At 48.4% G+C, this 20,385-nt stretch overlaps 1 protein-coding gene across 1 annotated transcript in view, besides 5 other annotated features; it reads left to right on the plus strand.

The window, feature by feature from the left end:
• Positions 39–816: an enhancer, noted in NCBI's record as "H3K27ac-H3K4me1 hESC enhancer chr20:36972161-36972938 (GRCh37/hg19 assembly coordinates)". NCBI's record gives its function as "activates a minimal SCP1, AML or CMV promoter by ChIP-STARR-seq in primed H9 embryonic stem cells {active_cell/tissue: H9 hESC(primed)}" and the evidence as "EXISTENCE:reporter gene assay evidence [ECO:0000049][PMID:30033119]".
• Positions 2,763–20,385, plus strand: part of LBP (lipopolysaccharide binding protein) — a 30,532-nt gene continuing 12,909 nt past the window's right edge. Inside the window, exons 1-7 of the mRNA NM_004139.5 lie at positions 2,763–2,921; positions 5,829–5,943; positions 7,092–7,220; positions 10,565–10,720; positions 11,627–11,690; positions 16,985–17,048; positions 20,256–20,347. Coding sequence (NP_004130.2) covers positions 2,798–2,921; positions 5,829–5,943; positions 7,092–7,220; positions 10,565–10,720; positions 11,627–11,690; positions 16,985–17,048; positions 20,256–20,347 — 744 coding nt within the window. The 5' untranslated portion in view covers positions 2,763–2,797. The remainder of the gene's footprint in view (positions 2,922–5,828; positions 5,944–7,091; positions 7,221–10,564; positions 10,721–11,626; positions 11,691–16,984; positions 17,049–20,255; positions 20,348–20,385) is intronic.
• Positions 10,193–10,753: an enhancer, noted in NCBI's record as "H3K4me1 hESC enhancer chr20:36982312-36982872 (GRCh37/hg19 assembly coordinates)". NCBI's record gives its function as "activates a minimal SCP1, AML or CMV promoter by ChIP-STARR-seq in primed H9 embryonic stem cells {active_cell/tissue: H9 hESC(primed)}" and the evidence as "EXISTENCE:reporter gene assay evidence [ECO:0000049][PMID:30033119]".
• Positions 10,754–11,313: an enhancer, noted in NCBI's record as "H3K27ac-H3K4me1 hESC enhancer chr20:36982873-36983432 (GRCh37/hg19 assembly coordinates)". NCBI's record gives its function as "activates a minimal SCP1, AML or CMV promoter by ChIP-STARR-seq in primed H9 embryonic stem cells {active_cell/tissue: H9 hESC(primed)}" and the evidence as "EXISTENCE:reporter gene assay evidence [ECO:0000049][PMID:30033119]".
• Positions 14,404–14,905: an enhancer, noted in NCBI's record as "H3K27ac hESC enhancer chr20:36986777-36987278 (GRCh37/hg19 assembly coordinates)". NCBI's record gives its function as "activates a minimal SCP1, AML or CMV promoter by ChIP-STARR-seq in naive H9 embryonic stem cells {active_cell/tissue: H9 hESC(naive)}" and the evidence as "EXISTENCE:reporter gene assay evidence [ECO:0000049][PMID:30033119]".
• Positions 18,872–19,041: a silencer, noted in NCBI's record as "fragment chr20:36991245-36991414 (GRCh37/hg19 assembly coordinates)". NCBI's record gives its function as "represses an EF-1alpha promoter that drives an FKBP-Casp9 reporter gene in an ReSE screen in K562 erythroleukemia cells {active_cell/tissue: K562}" and the evidence as "EXISTENCE:reporter gene assay evidence [ECO:0000049][PMID:32094911]".

Consider the following 20,385-nt stretch of genomic DNA (forward strand, 5'->3'; position numbering starts at 1 on the left):
TGCACTGCCATTTCTGGGGGCCCTCTCCTGCACAAGAACACAATAAACAGCCTTGTTAAAAGAGTCCCTATTTCACTGCAATAAGACTGAGTGGTGGCCAGAGTGGTAGCAGCTGTTGCTTTTGTGGAATTGGATGGACAGCCTGGTAGGAGAAAGGCCCAGGGGTTCTGACCAGCAGTGGGGTCGTGCTGCTCCCTGAGGCCTCTGCTGGGTCCTGGGCCATCAGCAGGGACCTTAGCCAGCAGTGGGCACCTGCAGGGGTGGAGGCCAGGCCTGGGCCATGTGGCAGCTCTAAGGTCCAAAGATTGCTGCTGTGGGAAATTCCCACCCCTGCAAATGACTCCCAGCCAGGGACATCCTTAAACTGCTGCCAGAGGAAGAGTGACATCTATGTCCCCATAAGATCCTTATGCTCCAGAATGTCCTCCCCCACTCTCCTCCCCTCCTGGGCAGGCTGAGGTCCAGGAAGCAAAGGCCCCTAGGCACACTGGGGATGCACCTGTGAGCCCTTTCCTGCTCCAAAGCCTCCCAAAGGCTGGCTCCTTACCCTGAGGCCTCTGCTCAGCTTGTTGCCTCCCAAGAGAACCCTGCCCTGACCAGAGTTTTGGAATGGCATCCTGCAGACCTGGACTTAAATTCCTGCTGGGTGACTGCAGCCTACATCACTTCACCCTGCCAAACCTCAGTTTCTTCATCTCAAGACAAGACTAAAATATCCACCTGGGGTTGCTGATGCAAGGATGAGAGGAGACGTGCAGCTTAACCAGCACAGCGCCTGCACATAGTAGGTGCTCAATAAATATCAGTTTCTTTCCAATTTCTGCTGGGTGCTGCAAGGATCTCAGGAAATGGAAGACTCAGCCGTGCCTGCAAGGAGCCATCAGACTGGTGGTGTGGGGACTGAGGGGAGGGACGGATGAGGATCCCAACAAACCTCAGCCCCAGTGACAGGAGCAACACGGTACAGAGGAGCAGAGAGGCCTGGACTGTGGGGTTCCCTGTGCTTAACGTGGGACATTCTGATCTTAACCTCAGTGCCTGCCAGTGCTGTTTGTGACCTATTGGGAGTCACCCTGTTAATCCCACCACATTCAGTTGGTTGAGGCCATCATGAAAACCTGCCCAATTTCAAGGGAAGGGGGCAGAAACATTACCTTTTGATGGAAGGAATATCAAAGAATTCGTGGGCATATTTTTAAAGGACCACAATTATCAAAAAGCAGAGTGGTTAATGCTGTGGTGGGGAAAGCGCAAAGGGTTCTGGGACCTCAGAGGGGACCCTTTCTAGAATCCAGAGAAGCATGGGAGTGGTCAGGGAAGGCTTCCTGGGGGTGAGGGCAAAGCAGAACTCACAAATGTAAGCAGGGCTGGGGCAAAACTCTAAAAATTAAACACAGTCTGTACTATAAATTTTGTTTTCCAGAATGAAATTTTACTATCTTTACTTACTGCGAATATATGCCCGGGACCATACCCCCAAGAAAATAAAAATTTTAGAGGCTGGGCATGGTGGCCCAAGTCTATAATCCCAGTATTTTGGAAGGCCAAGCGGGAGGCTTACTTGAGCTCAGGAGTTCGACACCAGCCTGGGCAACATAGCAAGACCTCGTCCCTACTAAAATACAAAAAATTAGCTGGACATGGTGGCTCACACCTGTAGTCCCAGCTACTTAGGGGGCTGTGGTGGGAGGATCACTTGAGCCCAGGAAGTTGAGGTTGCAGCGAGCGATGTTCATGCCACTGGACTCCTGCTTGAGCAACAGAGTAGACTTTGTCTCAAAAAATGAAAAAAGAAAAAAAAATTGTACGTATCAACAAGCAAAAACTTTTTTAACACTTATAATTCTACCCCCACAACCAGAGACAATGCCTCATGACTCCTTGCTAAATATTTTCCAGATTGTTGAACATAGAAGCCTATTTTGAACCCCCCAAAATAGAACCTTACTCTATGGTGCCATCGGAAACGGATGCCTCATGACATCCCTTTCCTTGCCAAGAAATACCTTTATTTCTGCAGCCTCACTTTAAGGGGCATGTCATAATTCATTTAACCAATGCCCTTCTGGTGGATACATGAGGTTGGGTCTCACTTCTCCTGTCCTGTTTCCCACAGCATAGCAGTGGTATCTTGGAGCAGTGATTTACTGGCACACTGACTCAATTATGTATTTAAGGGCAAGTCCCTGAAATTGAATTCCTGGGTCACAGGGCATGCAACTGTTTAAACATTTGCCAATTGCCTTCCAGAAAATTTCACCACCAGCAAGGTTTGAGAAACACTGTTTTCCCATTGGGGGAAACATTTATTTTTTAAATAAACGAGCCAATATATTTTAAAAAAGAGAGTTTGGTTGGTGCCAGATGTAGCTTCACTCTCAACCCTGCCCTCTGCTGGGGGTGAGATCTCAAGGGAGCTATGTGGCTTTTTTGAACCTCAGTTTCCTCATCTGCTAAACCAGGCCTTCCTAGCCGAGCTCTTAAGAGACTGGCTGAGATGAGGCAAGATGAACAGTGATGAATATGGGGTCTTTCTGTGGGGAGGGTGGACAGGGATGATCATAGGAGTCAGGCTTCCTCATCCACTGATCTGGGCAGTGAAAACTGGCTTCTAAGTATGACCTTATGACTTCAGTGATGTCGCAAGCAGGTTCCAGTCCCTGTGCCTCCCCTTCCCGCTCCCAGGAACCCATCCAGCCTCAGGAACTGCCCCCAGCCATCGAGCCTTGGCTACTTAAGGGACCTGGGCCCAATCCACAGCTGGGACAGTCCTGGCCCACTGCACTGGGAATCTAGGATGGGGGCCTTGGCCAGAGCCCTGCCGTCCATACTGCTGGCATTGCTGCTTACGTCCACCCCAGAGGCTCTGGGTGCCAACCCCGGCTTGGTCGCCAGGATCACCGACAAGGGACTGCAGTATGGTAAGAAGCCACATCTGCTGGCTGGACTTGGCAAACCCACGCTCCAGGCTGCTCTGGGTACAGTGGGGACAGGGAGTGGGGACACAGACCGGACCCTCTCCCTGGGGCAGTGCCACCTTCTGGGTCAGGTGGCTCTGGCTCCTATTCTGGCCTTACTGCCCACCAGCTGAGTGCCCTGGGCATGTTATTTGTGGTAGTGAGGTCCTCCACCAGCCAACAGAACACAGCTTTGCGTGCAAGTAGTTGATTTGGGAAATGATTCCAGGAAACACTGTAGGGAATCGGTACTGAGATGAGGAAGGGAGGGCAGCCAGGAGAGAGTGTGCAATTAAACCAGCCACCACCTCTGATGATGGGAACCACTCAGCTGGGAAAATTCTGCGTAAAGTTTGGAAACACATGCCTCTGAACTGGAAGTCAGAATTGTGGTCACCTCTAGAGGCAGGCAGAGACCCTGAAGGGCATGAGGGAGGTCTGCCGGGGTGCTGGAAGTTGCCATATCTTGATCCAGGTGGTGATCACATTCCTGTATAAACATTAAAAATTATTTAGCAATACCTTTAAAATTTGTGCCCGTTAGGTACTTTATGTATATTATTCCTCAATTTTAAAGAATGGGCAGGCCAGGCACAGTGGCTCACGCCTGTAATCCCAGCACTTTGGGAGGCCGAGGTGGGTGGATAGCTTCAGGCCAGGAGTTCGAGGCAAGCCTGGCCAACATGGTGAAGCCTCGCCTCTCCTAAAAATACAAAAATTAGCCAGTCTTGGTGGCAGCCAACTGTAATCCCAGCTACTTGGGAGGCTGAGGCAGGAGAATCGCTTGAACCCGGGAGGCAGAGGTTGCAGTGAGCCGAGATCATGCTGCTGCATTGCAGCCTGGGCAACAGAGGGAGACTGTCTCAAAAAAATAAATAAAAATAAAACAAAGAATGAGCAAAAGTAGGAGTATTTTTTTTTAAATACTGAAACAAAGCCTCCCGACTATCCAGGTGGCATGGGAACTGGGATATTTATACACCACAGTGATTGATTGAGGGCTTCTGGGCCGGGGGTTTGTCAACTCCCCAGCACTTCTGTCCTGTTGCATGTACCTGCTTTCTGCAGTTCCAGGACAAAAAGCCTCGGGACATACAGGCTCAGGGAGGCAGACATTGGCAGCTGGGAGTCAACTGTCACTCACTGGAAAGACTCAAGGATATGGACAGGCACTGACCACATGTCTTCTCACATCCCTAGAGCCTCAATTGCCTTACCTATTAAATGAGATAACAACATTCCCTTAGATAGGGTTGTTGGGAGCCCAGACTGGCTCGAGACAGGCAGAGGGAAATCAGGGAAGGATTCCAGGATATAGTAAAATGGAAAAGACAGTGGGAATTACCCAGGGACAAGGGGTAGCGTTCCAGGCGGAAGGACCCCAACATGTGCGTTTGCTAGAGGGAGAAGAGCAAATTGGAAAGAGGTGAAAGGGGAGGCTGCTGGTCATCTGTGTACCCATGTCTGCCTTGGGGACAGAAACCTGGGCCCCTCAGATCTCGGAACAGTGGGACCTGGTAACTGCTACTTGCATTGAAACTGTAAATCAGGGAAGTTTCTCTTTTGTTCCTTTGCACTGTGCACACACACCATGTTTATGTAACCAGTCCTCTGAGGTTGGACATTTTGGTCCTTTCCATATTTTTTTTTTTTTTGAAACGGAGTCTCACTCTGTTGCCAGGCTGGAGTGCAATGGCACAATCTCAGCTCACTGCAACCTCCGACTCCCTGGTTCAAGTGATTCTCCTGCCTCAGCCTCCCGAGTAGCTGGGATTACAGGCACATGCTACCACGCCCAGCTAATTTTTGTATTTTTAGTAGAGACAGGATTTCACTATGTTGGCCAGGATGGTCTCGATGATCCACCCGCCTCGGCCTCCCAAAGTGCTGGGATTACAGGCGTGAGCCACTGCGCCCGACCCCTTTCCATATTTTTAATAATATAAACCCTATTTGCTGTTCCAGGCATTTACTGAGTGCCTGCTGTGTGTCAGGCACCAAGCTAGGAGTGCTTGTTATCCTCACAGCCCCCTTCTTGCTTTGCAGTTTCAATGGCATGCCAATGAGGAAAGTTTAGTTTAGTTTAGTTTAGTTTAGTTTAGTTTAGTTTAGTTTTGTTTTGTTTTGTTTTGTTTGAGACAGAGTCTCACTCTGTCGCCCAGGCTAGAGTGCGGTAGTGCGATCTCGGCTCACTGCAATCTCTGCCTCCCGGGTTCAAGTGATTCTCCTGCCTCAGCCTCCTGAGTAGCTGAGACTACAGGTGCCTGCCACCATGCCCGGCTAATTTTTGTATTTTTTAGCAGAGATGAAGTTTCACCATATTGGCCAGGCTGGTCTCGAACTCCTGACCTCAGGTGATCTGCCCTCCTCGGCCTCCCAAAGTGCTGGGATTACAGGCGTGAGCCACCACGCCCAGCAAATGTATTGTTGTCATTGCTATTTGACAGATGAACAAAGTGAAGGTTGTTTGGGGACTTTGTCAAAGTCACCCAGCTAGAAAGATGCCCTCTTTCTCTAGCCCCCAGATCCTTCCAGTTTCTTCTACACAGGCCAGATGTCATGGAGAACAAGAAGGAGGACTATCCGTCCAAGCGCACAGCACTTTTGCCCTTGGGGATTTGTTGGCAAAGGCATTCCATTTCCTCATCAGTAAAATGGGCATGAACCTAACAATGCCACAGAAATGCAGGGACACCTCTGAATGTCCCTCATGCTACCTGGCACACAGAGGGGCTCATATCCTGTCATTGTACTTAATGCTAATAAGGATGTTGGCCCCTCTCTTGAGGACAGGTGGGAGCCACCGTAGGGTTTAGAGCAGGGGAGGAGGCAGGCAGATCAAGCTGACTCCCAGCTATTTCCTTTCCACAGCGGCCCAGGAGGGGCTATTAGCTCTGCAGAGTGAGCTGCTCAGGATCACGCTGCCTGACTTCACCGGGGACTTGAGGATCCCCCACGTCGGCCGTGGGCGCTATGAGTTCCACAGGTGGGGCTCTCCCTTCTGCTGCGGCTCTGAAGTGGCTGGAGCTGGCTGTCAGGGGGAATTGGAGAGTGAGGAAGAGAGAGCCTCAGGATTGGGCTGTGGGGGGACCTCTCCGGGGCAGACAGTGGGATAGTTCCCTGAAGAGCTCAGAAGGAAATTCTGGGAAGGAATTGAGCTCCTCCACTCAGTCACGCAGCAAATATTAAGGAAGACCTACTGGCTGTGTGATCTGAGCCTTGATTTCCTTATCTGTAAAATGGAGTTGATCTACTTCCTCCTTCAGAGTGCTCATCCAAGATCCAATCTGGCCACTAGATATAGTTTGGAAGAGAAGATAGACCTTACACTTTAAATGTAGTAGCCCAACGGTTAGAGCTGAAGTTTGTACTTGGGGGAGTCAGGGAAGGCTTCCAGGAGAAGGTGGCATTTGAGCCAAGTCTTCAAAAGATTACTAGACTTGAGCAGCTGATGCTTTAAAAGAGCGTGAACTGCTTTTTGAGGGATGGGCAGTGAAGAAACGACAATCAGACTCGTAGCACATTGTACCCCTCCCTGCTCACTGCTGTTGGGCGTTTCCTTCATTCCTGCCTTCTTTTATTCAGTCCATCAGCAAAAATCTATTGGGCACCTACTATGTGCCCGGCAAATAAAATAGAACTTGACCGTTCTTTTCCCACTGTGACAACCTTGCTGACTTTTTTGGGGTCTTATCTTAAGGCTGCCACCATCTTCCCTGAATCTGTTTCCCCCCTACCTGGATGTATTGAGAGAGAGGAGGGTTAGCAGGAACTGCAAACCCAAAGGGATATGTCTACGGACCTTCTCAGGATGCCACCGGGGGTCATTAGATTCATGGGTTCTGATGCAGACTGCAAAACCGTGAGCAATTGCATCCCTTCCTCAAGGTTCTATTTCCCCCTTTGTGGAAAGGGAGCAAGAACACTGCTGACCCCTTCAGTGTGGCCCATATGGCATGAAGAAAGTAACGTGCTTAGCATGGTCATAAGATCGATGCCTGGGGCACAGCAGGTGCTTACCTGGAGCAGATCCTGCTGGTCTAGTCCCCACTGTGGAGAGGGGAGGCGCAAGGTCCCTGGTGAGGCTGGGTCCAGGCCCAGGGCTGACACCTCCTTCCATGTCTCTCCCTTCAGCCTGAACATCCACAGCTGTGAGCTGCTTCACTCTGCGCTGAGGCCTGTCCCTGGCCAGGGCCTGAGTCTCAGCATCTCCGACTCCTCCATCCGGGTCCAGGGCAGGTGGAAGGTGCGCAAGTCATTCTTGTAAGTTGGCTCTGCTCCCAGGCCCTGGAGCTCTTGGCCTTGGCCTTCGCCCCATCCTTCTTAGGTCCAAGGTGTTCCTAGCTTATCAGAAAGGCCACGTGATGGACAGATGGAGTCCAAGCCCGGAGGTGGCCTGGGGATTGAGTCCTGGCTCTTGGATGAGTGTCTTTCTGTCTCTGAGTCTCTACTTCCTCATCTCCCAAAGGGGACGGGCCTGCTTCCTTGATGGAGTCATGGGAGGGCTAAGTGCGGTAATATCATGTCTCCTTGGTTTGCTTCCCACAGAAGCAGACTTTAGGGCAAGAATTCCAGTGCAATACTTTATCTTGGAAGCGATCTGAGGAAACCCACAGGGGAGTGGGGAAGTGAGGAAGGGAAGGGAAGGGAAGGAAGTCAGCCTGGTGGGCAAGTGAAGCTCTGTCTAGCTGGGGAACTCAGGGACAGCGGAGAACACGCCTCTGAGTTACTCCAGCCCCACGCTGTCACCCCGTCCTCCTGCTTGCCATTGGCCAAGGGCTGCTTCCAGGGGCTCTGGCTCTCAGGCACTTTGAACAGTTCTCTGACCTCAGAGGCACTTGGATGGAAGGGGTATTCATGTGCTAGGGCTGCCATAACAAGCATAGACTGGGTGGCTTAAGCAGAAATGTGTTTTCTCACAGTTCTGGAGGCTGAGGGCCAAGGTCAAGGTTTTGGCAGGCCTGGTTTCTTCTGAGGCCACTCTCTTTGGCTTGCAGATGGCTGCCCTTTGGCAATGTCCTCACGTGGTCTTTCCTCTGTGCTCAAGAAATCCCATTTCTGAGGCCATGCACGTTGGCTCACCCCTGTAATCCCAGCACTTTGGGAGGCTGAGGCGGGAAGATCACTTGAGGTCAGGAGTTCAAGACCAGCCTGGCCAACATGGCAAAAATCAGTCTCTACTAAAAATGAAAAATAAATTAAAAATTTAAAAATTAGCCAGGTGTGGTGGCAGGTACCTGTAATCTCAACTACTCAGGAGGCTAGACAGAAGAATCGTTTGAACCCTGGAGGCAGAGGTTGCACAGAGCTGAGATCATGCCACTGTACTCCAGCCTGGGGGACAGAGCGAGACTCCATCTCTAAAAAAAAAAAAAAAGAAAAAAGAAAGGAAAGAAACCCCGTTTCTCTCTGTATGTCCTAATCTCTTTTTATAAAGACACTAGTCACATTGGATTAGGGCCCACCCTAATGGCCTCATTTAAATGTAATCACCTCTTCAAAGGGCCTATCTCCAATACTGTGACATTCTCAGGTACTGGGGATCAGAGCTTCAACATCTGAATTTGGGAGGCAGGTGGTGACACAGAGCAGCCCATAGCAGAAGGAACAGCCCAAATATGGGTGATATGACCATATTTATACTTCAGACCTGCACTGCCTAAAATAGAAGCCACCAGCCATGCCTTTACTGAGTACTTGAAAAGTGCCTGGTACAAGTTGAGATCTACTCTAAGTATGCAACACTGGATTTGAAGATTTAGGATTAAAAAACAAACAAACAAACAAAAAAACAGCAGCTGAGCACGGTGGCTCATGCCTGTAATCCCAGCACTTTGGGAGGCTGAGGCAGGTGGATCATTTGAGGTCAGGAGTTCAAGACCAGCTTGGTCAACATGGTGAAACCCCATCTCTACTAAAAATACAAAAATTAGCTGGGCGTAGTGGCGCATGCCTGTAATCTCAGCTACTTAGGAGGATGAGACAGGAGAACCGCTGTAGCCTGGGAGGCGGAGGTTGCGGTGAGCCAAGATCACGCCACTGCACTCCAGTCTGGGCAAGAGAGTGAGACCCTATCTCAAAATAATTAATTAATTAGTTAATTAAATAAAATAAATTAGCCACCACACCTGGCTAATTTTTAAAATTATTTATTATAAATAAATAAATCTCATTAATATTTTTTATATTGATTACATGTTGAAATCATACTATGTATTACTAAAATTAATTTCAGCTCTTTCTTTTTATCTTTTTAATGTATCTTCTGGAAAATTTAAAATTACATGTGTGGCTCTCATTCTATTGCTTTAGAAAGACGGCTGGTTTATATGTTACCTACATATGCACATTTGTTCTAGTTCCATGAAAGGAACTGGCCACACTCTCTTACCCTGGCTTTTGTCACTGAAGTATCTTAAATATCTCTTTCTATGGGCATATGACTATCTACCTCATTTTTTTTCACTTTTTTGAATGTGCTTTTAAAAATTGATAGGAAATTCACGGAACATAAAATTGATTATTTGAAAGTATACATTCAGTGGCATGTAGTACATTCACAATTTTGTGCCATGTCCACCCCTATCTGACTCCAAAACATTTTCATCATCCCAAGAGAAAATTCCTTACCCATTAAACAATCATTCCCCATTTCCCTTCCCCCAGCTCCAGACAACCACCACTGGGGTTGGAGACTCCTGGAATAGACCACATTTTGCCCCATTGTTCTCAAAGGCTGCATAACATTGGGTGCCCACAGCTTATTCAACCTGTCGCTGCTAGCGGACATGTAGGCTGCTTCCTTTTTTTTTTTTTTTTTTTTTTTTTTTTGCTACTGCCTATGATGCTTCAGTGAGCTGCCCCACACCACGCGTATATCTTGGCAGGAAGAGCTACGGGATAAAGGCTTAGAAGTTAAATTACTGGGCCAAAGAGTATGTATGTTAGAACGAGGAGAGATCTCACTGATTTGTGTTTCAGAAAGCTTGTGCCAATGTGCACTCTCCCAGCCACAGTGTCTGGGACTTCTGTTTACTCGTACATTCAATAGCATTGAGTACTAAAACTTCAAAAGTTTTTTTTGAATCTGATAGGCGAGAACTGGTGTCATTGTTATTTTCATTTTTAATGACTTTTACATGCTTATTTTGTACTGCATTTCCTGTTCATATCTTTTTTTTTCTTTTGAGTTGTTCTTTCTTTCCTTGTTAATTTATATTGGCTTGTTCTTTGTATATTAGGGAAATAAGCCCATATATTAAGGAAATTGGCTCTTTAGATGTCTCATACTGCAATTTTTTTTTTACTTTACATATGGCATTTTTTTTGTCCACTGAAGTTTTAATTTTCTATGCCGACAAGTTTATCAAGGATTTCCTTTATGGCTTATGAGACTTGGATATTGCCTAGAAAGGCCTTCATCCAGCCCTGCCTGGAAATACTGGATCTGGGCTTTCTTCTAGATCTTTTATGGCTTTATTTGTTATTCTTAAATCTCTGCTCAGCTCCATGTATTTGGAGGTCAGAACTGAGCCTTCTATTTTCCCCACAAATGGTGGCAGACCCCTGGTCTAGGAACTAACCATGGCTTCTCTTACCTCCTCCAGCAAACTACAGGGCTCCTTTGATGTCAGTGTCAAGGGCATCAGCATTTCGGTCAACCTCCTGTTGGGCAGCGAGTCCTCCGGGAGGCCCACAGTTACTGCCTCCAGCTGCAGCAGTGACATCGCTGACGTGGAGGTGGACATGTCGGGAGACTTGGGGTAGGTCTCCATCGGGGCACTGCCAGCTGGACTCCTGGTTGCAGCTCCCGGCCAATCCAGCGCTCAGCCTGGCCTCCGATAATTGCAATGATCCAGGTGGCTTGCACAGGCACTTGAAGATCATTCTCTGGGGAACCCTGTTGAGATGAACAGACTTAAGCCAGGAATATTGGTGCATCATTTTCATTAAAAAAATAAACTTTCATTCACCTGACAAGGGGACCCTTGTCAGGTGAATGAAATCTGGCTATTTGGAGGAACACAGAAACTTTGGTTGAAGGAGAGTTTGCGAAAAACATACAAGTCCTTGGACAAGTCATTTCATCTCTTCTAGTCTCAGTTTCCTTGATTAGAAAAGTGTGACCGGGTGTGGTGGCTCACGCCTGTAATCCTAACAATTTGAGACGCCAAGGCAGAAAATCGCTTGAGCTCAGGAGTTCAAGACCAGCCTGGGCAACGTGGTAAAACCTGTCTCCACAAAAAAATACAAAAATTAGCCAGGCATGATGGCACATGCCTGTAGTCTCAGCTACTTCAGGGGCTGAGTTGGGAGGATGGCTTCAGGCCAGGCGACAGAGGTTGCAGTGAGCTGAGATTGTGCCACTGCACTCCAGCCTGGGTGACAAGGTGAGATCCTGTCCCCCACCCCCCCGCAAAAGAAAAGAAAAATGTGGATTCTCAAGCCGCTTCCCCAAATCTGCTGAATGTGATCATGCGATTGGGTGCCGCAGGCACTGGGAAGCCAGACACACCGAATCAGGCTGGATGTGCTGGGACACAGCAGGGCGCCGGGAAGGGGTGGAGAGGGCTCCCTTTGTGGACTGGCCTGACCAGGGACCAGGGCCTGGCTTTCCCAGGCACCCGGCCATCCCCAAGTTCAGTGGCAGACTGTGCTTCTCTCCCCAGGTGGCTGTTGAACCTCTTCCACAACCAGATTGAGTCCAAGTTCCAGAAAGTACTGGAGAGCAGGGTAAGAAGGTCCAAGCCTCTGGCCTCCCCCGAGCTTGGCGAGGGCTGAATGGAAGACCTCACTGACCAATGGCCCTGGACCAGGCCATGGGGGCTGGTTTAGACGTACTTGGGCCCAAAGCCCAGGGAGGACAAATCATTTGCCCAGGTCATGGAGCTGTTGTGGGGCACGCTGGGGACAAAGCTCCAAGTCCGTTCGGTTGGGCAGAAAATGGTCAACTGCTTGACCAAGGGTTAAACAGCAGGGGCTAAACAGAGACTCCAGCCCCTCCCTCTGCTCCACCTTGCTCAGTGCCCCACACTGCCCTGCATTCCACCAAGGTCCGAAAGGAAACCATTCCTCAGGCGCCTGCAAGAGACCAGGCAGGAAAGCTCAGCGAGGGCGTGGGCCAGGTGGGAACTGGGCGAGCTCATGAGCACCAGCCCTGGATGGGGAGGCAGCAACACTGTCAGACTGGCCTGTTAAAAAGGAGTATGTGAAATCTTCAGAGTGTATCATCTTTGACTAAATCAAAAAGATGTCGTGTTAACTTTCAGTTCCTCTAAACACTCATTCATCCCAAAATCCCGTTTCTGAGATATTAGCCAAATGGTATCTGTAGCAATGACTGTGGGAAGGGAGAAAGTGATGGAGGAGGAAAGGGAAAAAAACACACACACAAACACACACACACCACACCCCACACACACTCCCTCCCAGCACACACACACCACACACACATCCTACACACAAGCACCCCCCACACACACGCACATACCACACCCCACACAAACACACCCCACACACATACCATACCCCACACAAACACACACACCCCACACACACACCCTACACACAGACAGCACCCACACACACCACACGCACCCCCTACACACACACCACACACACCCTACACACACAAAACACACCACCCACAGACCACCCACACCCCCTACATGCACACACCACACACACCCTCCACACACACACAAACACACCACCCACTCACACCCCCCACACCACACACACGCGCACACACACACACACACACACACACACACACACACCCTCGTCTGTAGGTCCAACCTCTGGTTTGGCTTTGAGTGCCCCCTCGTGGTTGAAACAGGAACAGCAGGCAAACCCCGCATTTTGGGTGTGGCCAGCTGTGCTCTTTCTTTTCTGGTTCTGGGTCCCTGGGATTAAGTGACCCTGAGAAATATGCCAATCTACTCAGGCACCCTGTTGCCATATTGCTGTGCATAACAATAGTAATGTAGCACAATTATAATTATCACAGTAATCACATACCATAATTATTGTTTTGATAAATGTATATAATTAATGCTGTACAGAATATATTATTGTATAACTATTCTGATTTATAACAAAAATGGCTGCTATTTCTTGAGCCTGTAGCTTGGCCAGGGATAATGGGCTCAGCAGTTCACGTGCACAGTCCCTCTGGATCTCTCTTTTTTTTTAATTGAGACAGAGTCTCACTCTGTCGCCCAGGCTGGAGTGCAGTGGCGCGACCTTGGCTCACTGCAACCTCCACCTCCCAGGTTCAAGCAATTCTTCTGCCTCAGCCTCCCGAGTATATGAGACCACAGGCACGTGCCACCATGCCCAGTTAATTTTTTGTATTTTTAGTAGAGACGGGGTTTCACCATATTGGCCAGGCTGGTCTTGAACTCCTGACCTCATGATCTGCTCACCTCAGTGTCCCAAAGTGCTGAGATTACAGGCGTAAGCCACCACACCCAGCCAGTCCCATTGGATCTTAACCTCGACCTTGGAAGGAGGTGCCATTTTCCACATGGACAGAGGAGGCTGAGGGGTGGAGTAGCTTTCCCAGTGTCACCTTGCTGGTGAGAGGCTGAATCAGGATTGGAGCTTCCTAGAATGTGGAGCAGCTTGTACCAAAGCCCTTCTAGGGCTAGGTGTCTTGGGAAAGATGGAGATCTCACCTGACCCCTGATCCTTAGAGATCTTCGAATTATCTTCCAGAAAAACTAAGAGCCTGACGCAGGCCTTTCTAATTCCCCACTCAGGGTGGGATGTGGTACCTGGACCAGCAAGGCTAAGGAGAAGAATAAGCACTCACGAATGCTTGCTCTCTGGGCGATATATACTCACTATCTCTATCCCCAACTTCCCAAAATATTACCAGAAAGGGGTCCTGATCCAGAACCTCAAGAGAGTGTTCTTGGATCTCACGCAAGAAAGAATTTGGGGTGAGTTCATAAAGTGAAAGCAAGTTTATTAGAGAAGTAATGACGGAAAAGAATGGCTACTCCACAGGCTAAGCAGCAACATGGGCTGCTCAGTCGCGTATACTTGTGGTTATTTCTTGAGTCTGTGCTAAAGGGGTGGATTATTCATGAGTTTTCCTGGAAAGGGGCGAGGACTTCCCAGAACTGAGGGTTCCTTCCCCTTTTAGACCATATAGGGTAACTTGGAAATTGCCATGGCATTTGTAAACTGTCTTGGCACTGGTGGTCATGTCTTTTAGCATGCCAATGTATTATAATTAACATATAATGAGCAGTGAGGATGACCAGAGGGCACTCTCATCGCCATCTTGGTTTTGATTGGTTTGGCCAGCTTCTTTACCGCATCCTGTTTTATCAGCAGGGTCTTTATGACCTGTATCTTGTGATACCAGTCCTGCTGACCTCCTAGCTCATCTGGTGACTAAGAATGCCTAACCTCCTGGGAACGCAGCCCAGCAGGTCTCAGCCTCATTTTGCCCCTGTTCTAGATGAAGTCACTCTAGTTATAACACCACTGACAAAAACACCCTGGGAAGCACTTGGCCTTGCCATTGTATCTTGTGAGTGAGAACCAAAAAGCAGAGAGAGGTTCTGCAAAGGTCAAACAGCCATTGGGGACTGGGCAGGATTTGAATCCAAATTTACCTGGCTTTCCTGCTGCACCCCTAACCACTACCCCAGTCGCATCCTCAGGAGGCCCTGCTGTGTGTCTGCAACTCAGGCATCCCATGCCTCCCCTGCCCAGTCCTTCGGGTCCCTAAAGACTGGGGCATCCAGGCTCCAGGCTTTTGGGATGGTCTGATGGGCTACTGTCTGAAGGAAAGGCAAGAAAGGAGCGGTCTTCAGGGAGATGGATGGAGTTTCTTGGTTCCCTTGCAATCAACCACGAATGTTCCTCACCACACTTGACCTTGCTTTCTGGCAGCTCATCGCTGCTAAACTCCTCTCCCAGAAAATGGAGCAGCTGCAAAGAGAGGTTAAGATACAGCCCTTTGCCCTCCCAGCCCCCAGCGTCACCCTTCCATCAGCAACCCAGCGTCTGATGGATGGTGCCTGCTTACCCTTCAGCACAGAAGCCATCTGTGACCCCTGCACTAGGCCAGGGCTCTGCATGTCCCTCTCCTTCACTGTACATGTGGATTCATTGCACAAGAGGTGGTAGCTGGCTAACAAAAAGAGCTGTTTAAAGTGAGGACTTTCTCATCGCACATCAACAAAGAAAATATTGACGTATGAACCCAAATGTTTTAATGGTGGAGTTTCAGGCAGCGTCTCCAGTGCCCCCTCTTCGAGCTGTGTCAGTGAAGGCCCACAGCTATTCTTTGAAAATGGTCTCTTGATTGACATTGCCCTTGGTCTTTCCTGCATAAAACATTAAACTGCTACAAATTCCATCCCAGGTTTCTTTAACTGCAATGAGAATTTAAAGACATTTGCAAAGCCATCCCAGTGTAGAATCCTTCTTGATCTTTATGATTTTTTTTCCTCCTAAGATTTTCTGTTGTCTGTTCCAAATTTAATCTTGCTTTTAGAGGGGTTTTTTTGTTTTTCGTTTTTTTGGTTTTTTGGTTTTTTTTGCACCTCACCTTTCCAGAGTATTTATCTTAGGTTTTCATAGAAAGAACCCTTATAGCTGGGGCCGGGCATGGTGGCTCATGCCTGTAATCCCAGCACTTTGGGAGGCCGATGGGGGTGGACCATTTGAGGTCAGAAGTTCTAGACCAGCTTAGCCAACATGGTGAGACCCCAGTCTCTACTAAAATTACAAAAATTAGCAGGGTGTGGTGGCACATGCCTGTAATCCCAGCTACTTAGGAAGCTGAGGTAGGAGAGTCACTTGAACCTGGGAGGCAGAAGTTGCAGTGAGCTGAGATTGTGCCATTGCACTCTAGCCTAGATAACAGAGCAAGACTGTGTCTCAAAAAACAAACAACAACAAAAAAAAAAACTCTTTTCTCAATGATATTGCATTAGTGTACATAATAAATAATTCGAGTAATTACAAAAGCAAGTACAGCAAACAGGTGGTAGGCTTTCATGTGGACTCCAGTAGGGCCCAGTTGGACTTTTCAAAGTCTATCCCAAGGCTGCATCATAAATAATTCGGGTGATTACAGTGGCAAGTACAGCCAACAAGTTTGGAAATGCACATTTCCTTCTCTTGAGAAGCAGGCCGCACAACTGGTGGCAATTGTGTGTGAGTAGCCTACAGACCCCAGCATTCAGTCTTCCAGGAGTACCAGCAGGAATGGGGAATACTGATCAGTCCAGCCAATCTGTTCAGGATGACCATTAAGAACTATCTACAGGCCGAATGTGGTGGCTCACGTCTGTAATCCCAGCACTTTGGGAGGCCAAGGCAGGTGGATCGCCTGAGGTCAGGAGTTCAAGACCAGCCTGGCCAACATGGTGAAACCCCGTCTCCACTAAATATATAACAATTAGCTGGGCGTGGTGGCACATGCCTGTGATCCCAGCTACTTGGGAGGCTGAGGCAGGAGAATCGCTTGAACCCAGGAGGCAGAGGTTCACCCAGGAGGGTGAGCCGAGATCGCAACACTGCACTCCAGCCTGGCCAACAGGGCGAGACTCCATCTCAAAAAAAAAAAAAAACAAAAAAACTATCTACATTAACTGTATGTTTATTTGTGTTTATTTCTAGTTAGTGTCTAGTTCTGCTATTAAACTCTAAATTCTGAGAGGCCAGGACCTCCCAAAGGAAAACTTTGTAATGGTGGAGTTTCAGGCACTGTCTCCAGCCAGTGCCCCCTCCTCAGGCTGTGTCAGTGACTCCCTAGCTCAGGTGTCCAGCCCTGGGACAGACTGAAAAGTCCAACTGGACCCTAGTGGAGTCCACATGGGGGCCCACATAGTTTTATTGTTTGTATTTCCTTGGTACCTGGCTCATGACAAGCACTTATAAATATTTGTAAATCAGTGATCACTGAGCACATGTGTGGAATAATGTGACTGCAGTGATCAGCACGGGGCCAGACCAGAGCTGGGGAACTCACTCAGTCATTCTCTTCCCATGTTTTTCAGATTTGCGAAATGATCCAGAAATCAGTGTCCTCCGATCTACAGCCTTATCTCCAAACTCTGCCAGGTAGGACACCCCATCCATCCCGGGACACTTTTATTTCTGTTAATTTCTATAAGAGCATATATATATCTTATAAAATAGTAAATGGGGCAAAAATATAGAAAGTAAAAATTAAGGGCCAGGCGCAGCGGCTCACACCTGTAATCTCAGCAGTCTGGGAGGCCGAGGCGGGTGGATCACCTGAGGTCAGGAGTTCGAGACCAGCCTGGCCAACATGGTGAAACCCTGTCTCTACTAAAAATACAGAATTAGCCGGGCGTGGTGGCGCATGCCTGTAATCCCAGCTACTCGGGAGGCTGAGGCAGGAGAATTGATTGAACCCAGAAGGTGGAGGTTGCAGTGAGCCAAGATCACGCCATTGCACCCTACCCTGGGCAACAAAGACCGAAACTCTGTCTCAACAGAAAAAAAAAAAAAAAGAAAGTAAAAATTAAAAGTTCATTTTTCTCCCCCACTTTTCTTCCAAGAAGTAACTTCTGTTTTGGGTGTATCTTTTCAGATATTTTCTTTGTATGTACAAATATAAATACATGTAAGCATATAAATAGACATTCATGTATGTATTATTTTGTTCATGAATCTATGTGTATATGTATTATTTTAAATATATATGTTCATATACATATAGTATAGGCATTGTTCCAGATTTCTTTTTTTTGAGATGGGGTCTCACTCTGTGTCCCAGGCTGGAGTGCAGTGGTGTGATCTCGGCTCACTGCAGCCTCAAACTCTTGAGCTCAAGTGATCCTCCTGCCTCAGCCACCTGAGTAGCTGGGACTACAGGTGCATGCCACCACACCCGGCTACTTTTTGTATTTTTTGTAGAGACAGGGTTTCTTTATGTTGCCCAGGCTGGTCTCGAACTCCTGGGCTCAAGTGATCTGCCCACCTCAGCCTCCCAAAGTACTGGGATGACAGGCACGAGCCACTGTGCCAGCTTGATTTCATTTTTAAAAACTTTTTATTGAAGTATATTTATAAAGAAAAGTGCTCAAATCATAAGTGTGCTGTTAAAGAGTTTTTACATGCATGTAACCAGCTCCCAACCGAGAAACAGAACACGGCTGGTTTTTCAGAGCCCCTGGTGTCCCCCTCGGTCACTGCCCAGCCCTCCAGGGTCACCACCATCCCAACTTCTACCAGCAAAGATTAGTTTTGCACTTTGCACATGAATGGAATCAGACAATATTTTGAGTCTCTTTTCAAAAGCCAGAAGGCTTTCTTTGTTCAACTTTAAAATATGAGGTCAGGGCTGGGCGCGGTGGCTCACGCCTTTATTTTTTGTTTTCTTTTTTTTTTTTTTTTTTTTTGTGAGACGGAGTCTCGCTCTGTTGCCCAGGCTGGAGTGCAGTGGCGCAATCTCGGCTCACTGCAAGCTTCGCCTCGCGATTTCACGCCATTCTCCTGTCTCAGCCTCGCGAGTAGCTGGGACTACAGGCGCCCGCCACCACGTCTGGCTAATTTTTTTTGTATTTTTAGTAGAGACGGGGTTTCACCATGTTAGCCAGGATGGTCTTGATCTCCTGACCTCGTGATCCGCCCGCTCGGCCTCCCAAAGTGCTGGGATTGCAGGCGTGAGAGCTCACGCCTGTAATCCCAACATTTAGGGAGGCCGAGGCGGGTGGATTACCTGAGGTCAGGAGTTCGAGACCAGCCCAGTCAACATGGTGAAACCCCGTCTCTACTAAAAATACAAAAATTAGCCAGGTGCCGTGGTGGATGCCTGTAATCCCAGCTACTCGGGAGGCTGAGGCAGGAGAATCACTTGAACCTGGGAGGCGGAGTTTGCGGTGAGTTGAGATTGTGCTACTGCACTCCAGCCTGGGCAACAGAACAAGACTCTGTCTCAACAAAGAAAAAAAATAATAAATAATAAATAAACAAAATAAAATATGAGGTCAGGTCAGGCTTGGTGGTGCACACCTATAATCCCAGCACTTTGGGAGGCCAAGGAGGGAGTATCACTTCAGTTCAGGAGTTCAAGGCCAGCCCGGGCAACATAGCGAAACCCCATCTCTACAATAAATACAAAAATTAGCCAGGCATAGTGGTGTGTGCCTGTAGTCCCAGCTACTTGGGAGGCCAAGGTGGGAGGATCGCTTGAGCCCAGGAGGTCAAGGCAGCGGTGGGCTGAAATTGTGCCACTGCACTCCAGCCTGGGCCACAGAGTGAGATCCTATCTCAAAAAGAAATGAAATAAAATAAAACATGAGGTCCATGCATATTGTTGCATGCACCTGTAGTGTAGCTGGTTTATTCTCCTTGCTGCATAGTATATCACCATGTAGATGTTTCCCCATTTATTTGTTCATTCTACTGTTGAAGGCCATCTGGGGGGTGTTCAGTTTTAGGCCATTATCCGTAGTGCTGCTATAAATGTCCTAGTACCTATGGTCGCATGTCTTTGGGTATATATCTGGGAGTGAAATTGCAAGCTCGTCATATCATGTGATATGCCCAGATTCAGCATTATAAGATCCTGCCAAACAGTTTTCCAAAGTGGTTGTAACAGACCTTATTTGTTAACAGCCGTGTAGTGTTCCATCACATGGATGTGTCTTCATTTATTTAATAAGTCCCCCACTGATGGACATTTAGGTGCTTTGCTGTCCCTTGCTATTGCCAACAGGGCTGCAAGGAGCCATCTACAAGTGGAGTCTCTGGATCCAGGGTGCACACATTAAGCTCGGAGGGGGAGACCCTGGCAAATTATCTGAGATGTTCTCTGATGCCTTAGCTCCTAAGCCCCTATGCGGTTATTTGCTGACATCACCTTTACCAGAGGTCCAGGTCGGCAACCCGGTACTGGGACTTGGAACATTCATCCATTCAGGGTTTTGGAGGGGAGTGTCTGGGCCCTCTGGACATGCCATGCCTGACCTTCCTGGTTATTGGCTCAGCATTAAGCTCCAGGTGTGGCTGGAGAGGTGAAGCCTGGACTCATGGTGTGTGTGTATGTGTGTGTGTGTGTGTGCTTGTCTGGAAACTGCTTAGGCCCTAGGCTGAGCATACACCCCCACCATTGTTAACTCATCCAAGGGAATCCATGTAGTGTCTTTCTTGAAGAAGCAATTCTTTGCCTCAGGGCCGGGCTAGTAGGGGGATTCTGAAGAAAGTCACAGGGAATGTGAGTCAGCCAGAGCCCTTGCCCCTCCTCCAGCAGCTGAAAGTGTCATCTGGCCCCTAATTCTGCCCTGTCCTCATTCACAGTTACAACAGAGATTGACAGTTTCGCCGACATTGATTATAGCTTAGTGGAAGCCCCTCGGGCAACAGCCCAGATGCTGGAGGTGATGTTTAAGGTGAGGGTCCTGGGGCCGGGCTGCGTGGGTGAGGCTTT

Source organism: Homo sapiens, chromosome 20, assembly GCF_000001405.40.
Source record: "Homo sapiens chromosome 20, GRCh38.p14 Primary Assembly".
Classification (NCBI taxonomy): Eukaryota; Metazoa; Chordata; class Mammalia; order Primates; family Hominidae; genus Homo; species Homo sapiens.